This window comes from Homo sapiens, chromosome 10 (assembly GCF_000001405.40).
Source record: "Homo sapiens chromosome 10, GRCh38.p14 Primary Assembly".
NCBI lineage: Eukaryota > Metazoa > Chordata > Mammalia > Primates > Hominidae > Homo > Homo sapiens.
The window spans coordinates 127,865,991-127,877,355 of NC_000010.11; the positions used below are offsets into that span (position 1 = coordinate 127,865,991).

The 11,365-nt window shown below is 45.3% G+C and overlaps 1 pseudogene; it reads left to right on the forward strand.

The window, feature by feature from the left end:
* Positions 1,928-2,632, forward strand: BUB1P1 (BUB1 mitotic checkpoint serine/threonine kinase pseudogene 1; annotated as a pseudogene).

Consider the following 11,365-nt stretch of genomic DNA (forward strand, 5'->3'; position numbering starts at 1 on the left):
ATAATATTGTTCCAATTGAGTTCTATGTTACAGCATAACAAAAACTAATTTAGAAACCTAACTGCAGGTTAGAAACAGTTCCTACTTACTATAGAAGACTGTTTACCTATTTCAATCATGTGACCATTCTCAAAACAGGTTTAGGAATTGCCTCAGAAGCCCAAGGTAGCAGCCTGAATGGAAGAAAACCTTCTTGCAGGTAGATTTATTTAGCCTTTGGAATCAGCCGATTCAGAACCAAGACTGTGACTGAGTTGTGGAATGTTACTTGGGGACAAGGCTCTCAAGGAAGGGGGCTGTTTTCCTGTGTGGCCTGGAAACTGGTTCAAACAGCAGTTCTCAAAGAGAATTCCCCAGGACAGGGGCCAGAATATCCTCCGCCTCCCACTTCCAGGACAATCGCCTAGTCGTCCTTCAAGCCTCAGTAAAAGGATCTCTTCCTCTAGGACGACTTTACTACTGACTCATCCAGATAATTCCTCCCTCCACTGGGCGCTTGTGGTACACTGTCCTTATTCCGCTACTGTCTTCATGTATTTCCACATTTCCAGCAGTCAGCATAGCAGCTCACCCAAGAAGGATGCCCATGCATTGTTGAAAGAAGGGATGGGGCCAGGAAGCTCAGCTAGGTGCTGTTACGTTCACGTAAAACTAGAATCAGCAAATTAGAAGTGGGTCATGGCCTTCTACAAATGAGTGTCTAAACAGCAGAGAAGCAAACTGAAAGAAAAAACAAGCAGCAAGAAAAGAGAGCATTTATCTAGAAAGGAAAAATCCAGAAACTAAACAAATACAGAGATCTGAGACCATTGTGTGTAGAGTCCAATAGTCCAATGGGCACACTAGTCATCTGGAAGCCACTGTCCTGGCAGAGGGTAGACCTGAGTGTTGCTGGTGACAAAGATAAATGGTCACCTTGGATCAAGATGAAGATGCAATTTAAACACAACCTAGTTTTTTTTTAAGTCTTCTGTAGTTTGAGGAGTCAATACAATTATTCCTCCCTCTTTCCTAGCCTGTTCTCCAGCATTTAAAGATAGAAACAAAGAAAATTATGGAATACATCAGTCTAAAACTAAACCTACAGGCAGGAGCCAGATCCTTTGGAGAGCATGCAACAAGCAGATTTCCTTCAAGATAAAATGAAGTATTTCATGCTACAGGGTTTTTGGGTGGCCCTCCCACTGGGAGCTTCTGCTACAACAGAACCTGGCTTGTGCATTTAAAACCTAAAAGCAGGAGGATTTACATTTGCCACACAGCTTGCTTCCAACACTACTGAACACACTTCCAGATGATGCAGGGAAAGCTCTTGAAGATTTTAAAAAAAAAAACATGTGATTACAAACTATTGTATAACTTTGAATTTTTATAAAGACATAACGGAGCCCTCACAAAACGAAAAGTTTGCCAGGCATGGTGGCTCATGCCTGTAATCCCAGCACTTCGGGAGGCTAAGGAGGGCGATCACCTGAGGTCAGGAGTTCAAGACCAGCCTAGCCAACATGGAGAAACACCACCTCTACTAAAAAATACAAAAAAAACTTAGCCAGGCATGATGTTGTGCACCTGTAATCCCAGCCACTCAGGGGGCTGAGGCAGGAGAATCACTTGAACCCAGGAGGCAGAGATTGCAGTGAGCCAAAATCATGCCACTGCACTCCACCCTGGGCAACAGAGCGAGACTCCATCTCACACACACAAAAAAAAGACAAGAAAAATTAATTCCAATTCAAAGAAAGAGTCCAGGGCTGGGCATTGTGGCTTATGCCTGTAATCTTAGCACTTTGAAAGGGCAATGAAGAAGGATAACTTGAGGCCAGGAGGTTGAAGCTGCAGTGAGCCATGATTGCACCACTGCATTCCAGCCTGGGTGACAGAGTGAGACTCTGTTGAAAAGAAGAGTCCAGAACAGTTATGGCCAACAGATGTATATTCAGCAACCTCACTCACTCTAAGAAGTCCAGCTTCAGGGAGTATATTTACAGACCAGGTGGAGCAGGGCCTTGGACTGGTTAACACAGAGACTGGCTGTGCACAAAGGTCAATTGCTGATGGCAGAGTGAGTCTTCCAAAGATTAGATGCAAGCCATTTGGAAGTGTTGACACTATAAGCTTTAGTGTTGAGGACCCACGAGATGATGAGATTATTTTCTCTAAATCAGTGAATAACTATTCAAATGCTTTTTAATAGTGATACAAACTCCAAGTTAACAGGTTAATCTGAATTTTTTGCTGTTTTCCGTTGATCACCTTTTGAAGAAAGGACCTTTTCCCAAGTCTAAGAAGCTACCCACAGGAAAGTAAATAATCACTAAAGAAATAGAAGATTGTCTTCAAGATTCAGGACTTTTTGGATTCCTGAAAATTCTATATCAAAACCTAACTGATGGGAAGACCAAAACCAGGTGTGTGACATTTATTTAATAAACTAGATTTGTCTGATTTATTCCAGAATGGCAGAGTTTCGGTGGGAGGCATCTATAGCATCGGGTCTTAAAAAGTGGTCCCAGACTCCTGGAGGCTCCTGAGACTACACTGTGAGGTTTGCAAGATCAAAACTATTTTCATCACAATACTTAGATGTTATTTCCTTTTTTCTTTGGGGATACTTGAACAGATGGTGGAAAAGCAATGGTGGGTGAGATGGGTTGACCTTACCACAGTATCAAGGCATTGGCATCAAACTGCACAACTTGTCACTGGGGACATCACCACCCCATACTTGGAGGAGTGTGGATGATTTGTCTAGTGCTATCTGTGGAGTGTTGAAGTCCCCCACTATTATTATGTTACTGTCTATCTCTTTTCTTAGGTCTAATGGTAATATTTTTATGAATCTGAGAGCTCAGATTTTATTATATGTAAAAATGCATATATATTTAGGATTGTTATGTCTTCTGATTGAATTGGTCCTTTTATCATTATATAATGTCATTCCTTGTCTGTTTTTACTGTTGTTGCTTTAAAGCCTGTTTTATCTGATATAAGAATAGCTATTCCTGCTCATTTTGTTTTCCAATTGCACAAAATATCCTTTCCCACCCCTTTACCTTGAGTCTATATGAACCCTCACATGTTAGTTGTGTCTCTTGAAGACAGCAGATATTTGGTTTGTAATTTTTTATCCATTCTGCCAATCTGTATCTTTTAAGTGGAGAATCTAGGTCATTTATATTCAACATTAACATTGTGATGTAGGTTACTGTTTCAGTCATTGTATTGATTGTTACCTAGTAACTTTTTTTTCTCCGTTGTGTTATTGTTTTATAAACCCTGTAAATTCTATGCTCTCAGGAGTTTCTGTTCTGTGTGTATCAACCTTTAGTTTCAAGATTTAGAACTCCTTTTCACATTTCTTTCAGGACTGGTTTAATATTAACAAATTCCCTCAGAATTTGCTTGTCTGAGAAAGATTTTATTTCTCCTTTATTTATGAAACTTAGCTTTGCTGGATACAAAATTCTTGACTGACAATTATTCTGTTTGGAGGAGACTAAAGATGGGACTCCATTGCATTCTGTCATGTAATGTTTCTGCTGAGAAGTCTGCTGTTAGTCTGATAGGTTTTCCTTTGTAGGTTACCTGGTGCTTTTGTCTGACTGCTCTTAGAATTTTTTCCTCTACATTGACTTTAGATAGCCTGATGATTATATGCCTTGGTGATGTCCTTTTTGCAATGAGTCTCCCAGGAGTTCTTTGAGCTTCTTAGACATGTATTTGCATGTCTAAATCTCTAGAAAGGCTAGGGAAGTTTTCCTCAATTACTTACTCAAATAGGTTTTCCCTACTTGTTGCTTTTTCTTCTACCTCAGGGATGCCTATAATTCTTAGGTTTAGCTGTTTTCCCATATTTCTTGGAAACTTCGTTTATTTTTTTTAATTCTTTTTTTCCTTTATTTTTGTCTGATTAGGTTAATTTGAAAGCCTTGTCTTTGAGCTCTGAAATTCTTTCTTCTACTTGGTCTAGTCTATTGCTAAAACTTTCCACAGTATTTGTAGTTCCCCAGATATGTCTTTCATTTCCAGAAGTTCTGATTGTTTTTTCTTTAAAATATGCCTCTCCTTAGAAAGTTTTTCACTCATGTCCTGAATTGTTTTTAATATTTCTTTATGTTGGTTTTCACCTTTCTCTTGTCTCTCCTTTAGTAACTTAATAATTTACCTTTTGAATTCTTTATCTGGTATCTCAAAGATTTCATCTTGACTTAGACTCACTGCTGGAGAGTTAGTGTAATCTTTTGTGGGTGTTTTTAGAACCTGTTTTTTCATATCACCAGAATTATCTTTCTGATTTACTCTCATTTGGGTAGACTCTTTCTTCTTATGATTTTTAAATTAATTTTTATTTGACTGGTTTTAAAACATTTCCCCGTGAGGATGTGACTTTAATGTTTATAGTTCATTGTCACCTAGCTTCAGCTCTGCATACTTTCAGTGGCAAAGACTCTGAGTTCCTTGGTTATGGAGAATCTTTGTGTGATGGATTTCTCAGATGCTGGATGTACTAAAAATGTGTTGTGTGTGTAAGCAGATTCACTGTCTCATGTGGGGCTGGAATGGCCGTGGTCTCATGAATATCTCATTTCCCAGTGATGTGCACTTAAAAAGAAAAATTCCCCAGTATTTTATTCACTAGGTTGAACAGTTCAGGCTTCGGGCCAGTAGGAGGTGCCAATGGGTTAAAAAGAAAATGGCTGCAGCTAAAGCAGGTGGGTAAAAGCGATATCCCAGTGGTGGGTGGAGGTCCCAGCTTTGACAGAGGTGACTGAGGAAGCTGTCAGTAAAATGCACTGAGTTCTTTTCAGGGGGAGGTGAGGGATCCACCACAGTTCTCCTTCCAGGCCAGAAGGAAAGTAATCCACCTCCCAGCCCACTCCTGACCTGGTATTCCAGCTGTTAGATCAGACAGGCAGCTCTTATTCATCAGGAATACTGATGTTTCATGTAGAAAGGGGTTGTGAATCTCTCTCTCTCTCTCTCTCTCTCTCTCTCTCTCTCTCTCTCTCTCATGCAAGCCTGAACCTGGAAGGGAATGCTGTGGGGATGCAGTCACCCTAGAGTGTTCCAGAAAGGGTGCCTACTAATGCACCCACACCAAGCTCCTATGGGAGAAGCCCCCGCTACCTCTGCAGTGGTGGTCAAGGGATGGAAGAAGTCCCCTTCTCCAAGACCATTCACAAGTATCAGGGCTGCCTGACTACTTGGGTAGAGCAACAGACTTTCCCCACCGAACCGAGCACTGCACCTGTGCCTCTGCTGAAAGAAACTTCCCACCCGTGGAAAGTTCTAGCACTCAAGGCCTGCCTTCTGAATTCCTTTGTCTCATAGGGTCCTCCCTTAATGTGTGCATTCTCACTTCCCCTAGGAGTAGCAGCCCCTGAAGGCCAGACTACTGTGAATGCTGCTGCTCCTCTGGGTCTAGCCACCCAGTCGGGCTGCCACATTCCAGGCTGGTGCTAGGGATATCTACAAGGGATCCAATGATGTAACTTGTCCAGTCTCCCAGCAGTGGCAGGGGAGAGACATAGACTGAGATTTTCTTGGTTGTAAATAGCCTTAGCATGTTGGCTTTCTCAAAGCCAACAATAGTAGTAACGTACTAGGTATATGGAAACGTACTTTCCATATGGAAAGACTCAACATCTGGTTAGCCAGGGTGATGCAGGCAATGTCAGTAGGCGAGGTTGCACAGAGGTTTTCTTCTTCCTGAGTAATGTGTTATTGTGCCTGCAGATGCTGCAATGGATGGTGGCAGCTGGCCACCAGCCAGGAGGTGGCACTCGCAAAAGATCACCAGCTGAGGTGGTAGTGATGGGGTTGGTGCTTGCCTCATGTTACCCAGGGGAGGTACTCTGGAGTCTCAGGCAATGGGCGGGGTCCTGGAGTTCCCAAACGTCCCTGTCCCTTGTGTTTACCAGGGCAAGTGAAGGGGCAAAGCGGGTCAGGCTAGATCAGGTAAGTCCACGCCCTGGCTCCCTACATGCAGGGGCAAGCAGTGTCCTCAGCGGGGGATTGGAGGGCAGTTCTCTGGCTGCTGGGATAATGTTCCAGAGATGAGTGTAGCTGCCGCTGCTGCACAAAAGAATCCGCATGGGGAGTGAGGAGTAACAGGCGGCAGTCAGTCCCACTCAGCTCCCACGCACTTGGCAAGGAAGGCCTCACACCCGCAGGGTTCAGCCAACAGCAGCGAGCTGGGTTCCAGGCAGCCTGCTCTCAGAACTCAAAACCGCCCAGGCCATGAGTCTTCCTGATAGAGACAGAAACCTGGCTTTCATGCTTCGGCCCTCCAGGTCCACCCGGGAAGCAGGGGTGCCAGCTCCTGCACTCGTGGCCATAGCACACTTCCCAGTTGCCCCTGGGTTCAAGCCAATAGGGTTCGTCCCCTCTCGAGATTATGTGGCAAAACTCAGTTGGGAGCTTCTCTCACCCTGTGACCACCGCCTGAGTCGGCTGGCAGACTTCCACAAGGGCCCCTGTGGGATGGGATCAGGAATGGCTTCGCTCCATCACCGCTGGAGCCTGGGAGTGCCCACAGAGCCTGTCCCGATGCTGCTCCTCCCTCTGTTCTCCCCACCACTCACTAACTCGGCTCCAGTGCTGGGCAGGGTCATGGGCTTCTGAGGGTTGCAGCTCCCCTGTGGGAGTGAGCGTCTTGGCAGCTGTGTCTCCCCTCACGCTCTAGAGACTCAAAGTCTTCCATCTGCTTCGCGGTATAGGCTGCTGCCCGCCACTTCTTTCAAAGGGACTATGGTTTCTTTCCCTTTCTGTTAAGTTCCTGTGTTGCTCTTGGAGAAAAGTTCACAGTGTGACTCTCTATACACTATTTCGTCTTTCCAAGTGGGAGAGGCAGGCTAACTAACAATGCCTCCCATCTGCTAGCTTGGGGGAAGAAAAAGGTTCATTGATCTTAAGACCAGAACCTATTTAGGAAGACAGGAAAGATACTGGTCAGCATGTAGTGTCCAGTGAAAATGGTTACATTTGTAGTCAAAAGGTCAATGTTTCCCAGTGTATATACCACAAGAGTCCTGCACACTGGGTTACTCAAAATGAGACGGGCCTGGGGCCAGCAGAGGGAGGCCAAGGTCTACTACTGGGAAGTGCACTTTGGACTTTGTGCAACCCTTTTATACACACGCAGGGCCGCTGCCATGCTATAGGTCCCAGGTGTGCCTCGAGGAGACGTTGGCGGGTAAATCTGCATCAGAATATCTGCTCAGCCTCTCCTTGGTTGTGGCATGGTGGGGACGCCACTTTGCCAACCTAAGCCTTAGTGGCTCATCTATCAGATGGGGTTAACTATAAAACAACACAGGATATTGCTGTGAGGATTCAACACAATCTCCTGTTTGCAGGGTTTGGGGCAGGCACACCCTGAGGCCTGGCACCTGTGGCTGTGGTCTCTGCTATTGCAACAGCCTTGAAGACTGGGACCCCTACTGGGACCCCCGCTCTCTTCTGGGGGACCCTGGAAGGCTCCACCATATCCCTACACTGAGTAAGAAAAGGAGAAGCTTCCCCCTGTGGGAACAGTGACTTACGGGAGCTGAACATGGTGCCGAAGTGGCGTGCCTCAAGAGAGCCAGAGGAGCAGGGCATTCCGAGGGCCAGGATGAAACTAAGGGCCAGGACGAAATGAAACACCTCCTTGCCGCTTGGCAGGAGGGGCGTGAGAAGCAGGAGGGGTGTTCTTTTTCACAGTGATTTTTGTAAAATGAATAGTCATAAAATATAATTCATTTCTTCCTCAATCTTCCCTTTTTACTAAACATTTAAACATTTTGAAAATGAAACTTTCATGGTCTGAAACCTGTCACTAAAACAAATTCTTTTTTGCTTTTAAACTAGGACATTGTCTGAAATTCTAATCAGTGCTGTCATTATTTTTCAGGGTCTTTGGGCAGTGTGAGGACATATGTCAGCAAGCGCATAACAAACACAGAATTGGCGGCCCTAACAGCGGGGAAAATAGTACCTGTGTATCCACGGCGTCCTCACTGCTACCCCACATGGGGCATTCAGGTTTCACAGACATCCCTTATGCCTCAGGTCCTTCTCCAGTGCAGCCGTAGTAAACCAGCGCCCTGGTCACCAGGAGTGCTTTGGGCCCTGGCCTTCTATTTGAAGGATCACAAAGTCCCCCTCTGGGTAGGTGTGGAGGGTCATGCAAAGGAGACCCCACCATCCCCTGCTGGGGTCAGCACCCAAGCTCACCTGAGGATTCATGTGAAACACATTGGATGCCTTTGCCTGGGCCCACTGCCTCTTTCCCTTCTGAATAAAGAAGACCCACCATGAGACTCACAAGCGGGGTGAGGTGAGGCCTTACCTCCTCTGGGGCACACCAGGAATGCCACACTTCCCCTCTGGGACAGAGCTCCGGGACCAGGGGCCACCCTTCCTTCCCTTCCTGACTCCACCCAAGCACCTCTCCTCGGCCTGATACACAGAAACTGTCCAACGAATCCAACACAGAAAGAAAGGACTTGGAGACCTGTTTCCATTCAGCTCTGCCACTTGTCAGGTTGAGTTCCTGGGCAGGTCTACTAACGCCTCTGGGCTGAAGTGTTTTGTTTATTACTGTTTGTTTACAGGACAGCAGAATGAGTGTGGCCTGCAGTGGCTAAGGGTGGTGACATTATTCCCACTCACAGTTTCTACTGTGTTCTAGGGACTTATGGGTCTGTGACAGAGGAGGCCACCCTGAGCCGTCAAGGGCACAGAGCTCCTTATTATGGCTCACTCACAACAGCCCTGCAAGCTAAACCAGCTCTTGTGATCCCATTTCACAGATGATTAGAATGAGGCTGACTGAGATGAAGTCACTTCTCTGAGTCGTAAGTAGCAGATCCCAGGCGGCGTGACTCCAGAACTTCCCTGCTTCATCCTACACTGATTCTTGTTTCTCTTATTTATGTATTTATTTTTTTTCATGAGGAAAGATGAGCTCAGAGATAGGCAGTGACTTTGCTGGTTTCTCACCACTCTCTGTGGGATGTCAGAGCAGCCTATGAACGTTCTTAGTCCTGGGAGGTGGAGGTGTCTAAAGGGTCAGGGAACGAGGACCAGGGCTAGAGAGCTGGTCAATTGTTAGGGGAGATCAGTCCTCTGCACCACCGGCCGATGACCTCATCTGCCTGAGGCCCCTGAAAGTTCTGAGTGCTGGGTCCAAACAGTCCAGAGGGTCGCAGGGACCAAGGGCCCCCAGCTTCTCTCCACACTGGAATTTCAGGGTCAGAGGGCCCCTGACTCTGAGCCATCCCTGCCCCCTACACATCTTGCCTGTTGTCTAGGCTGTAGAAAGGCAACAGATTAGTCAGCTAGAAACCTGCTTTGAGTCTACCCTGAATGACCGGTTCCAGCATAAGAGAAGGAGGGTTGCTGAGTAGGTGTGGGGTGGGGAAGGAGTGCCCACTCTGCAACTCGGCTTAGCACCTGCTGCCCTTTGCAGAATCTGCAGGGTCCCAGGCCCTCCAAGAGGCTGAGCAGCCTCAAAAGGCATGAAGCTGCTGGCATGTACCTGCGGCTCCACAGGCAGCATACAAGGGCATCGCTAGTGCCTGGCCATGTGAGGCTGGCTGCAGGATCCCTAGGCGGACCCTGAGAAATACCATATCCAAGGACACAACGCTCCCGTCCTGCCTAACCCACAGAGTTTGTTGAGATGATCAGACACAATTCTAATGATGATAGCAAAGCTTACCTGGAGGTTCCCTCCCGTATCCCACTGTGCTTTGCAAACACTAACTCACTGGCTGAGCCCAGTTTGACAACAAAGTACTGATTTCTCTAAAGTTCTCATCATAGACTGTATGAAGAGCATATGTTTTATACAACTTACTTATTTTGCAAATATGGATAAACCTTTGCAACCCAGATCATCATAACAAGACCACGTGGGTTCATTAGAGTCATACAGTGTTTCAACGGTCATAATATGACTAGTTCAGACCCCTTCGAAATAGTGCTTCAGGTGAATCAATTCACCAAATGTAAAACAATGTACATTTATTAGTTGTTTTAAAACAGCAAATTACTATTCATTGTGTAATGAATTGTTGCCTTACTATGCCATCCACCCATCTTGTAGGCTGAGGCATGGAGGCCTGTGTTCACCCTTCCGCACACCCACCTGTGCTTGTGAAATGTACACCCACCTGTGCTTGTGAATAGCATTAAAGCCATTTCTACAGACTTCGCATGTGTAGTTTCATTATCTTCTGCCTTAAAACACATTAAGGAAACCATTCTCTTTGTCTCCCAAATTGTGAAACGTAGTTCCATTTACCTGCTTCCCATGTTTTAAAGGTCATTTGTGATATAAGTATTGAGAAAAATTTTCCCCCTAAGGAAACTGAGCTCTGCTCAAATGCCGAGGTGAATAAATGCAGCGCTTTTCCCACAAAACACAATCATTCACACAAACACACGATGCGAGTGCCTGTTTAGCAATTGTTTCTGCGGGTTTGTTATCTATAGCTGTTTCCTCTTCATTAGTTGTTTACATTATTAAAATCTGATATAAAATGCAAACTTTCAAAGAATGTGTTTCTAGATCCAAAGAATTTAGAAAATGTTCACTGTTGATCAGATTTTTAAAAATATATTCAAAGTTAATATTAAGAGTAACTTTGAATAAGTAGGGCTTTAGAGCAGGACGTGACAGAGAACTGACCTTTCAAAGAATGAGCACAATTTGTGACTAAGTACCTCTTTTAAATGGAGTTTAGCAATTGCTTTCTGAATACCTGTCTTGACTGTCCAACAGTAGCTCCATGGGGGCGGATACCCTGGTGAGCACTGTGCTAGCCACATCGCAGGTATCCTACATGTATTTCTTAAATGAAAAATATTCTTTCTAAGACAGTGTTAAAAAATCATGAGTAAGAAGGTCATTAATCCCTGATAGCTTCATAAATGAGATATTCTTCTGCCCAAAGAGATGCTGCTCTGCAAATCACACCCAGGGAATTCTGCTCCTTTTGGCCATGGTCCCATGAAGACACACAAGGTGATCGTTTCAGAACCCTATCAGTGTTCAACCTGGCTAACTTGTGAAATAGTCAAGCTCAAAAGATTCTCAAAGTGATTTTCTGGGAAAATATTCTACTGTAAAGAAGGTCAGATCCATTCCGTTGCCTTTAAAACATTTTCCTGGTTGCCCACCGGCTTCTCATGAAACCGGGAACCAGTTTCACCCAATCTGTTCTCAAAGGGCTAACCTACCCCATGCCCATGTTCCATGTTTGCCCTGTCCCTGACTCAAGGAATGAATGCCTGCAAGCCACAGTGTTCTAACCCATTTCTCCCTCAGTCTCTGGCTGGGCAGGAGCCTGCTGATGGATGACACACTCCCATCAGA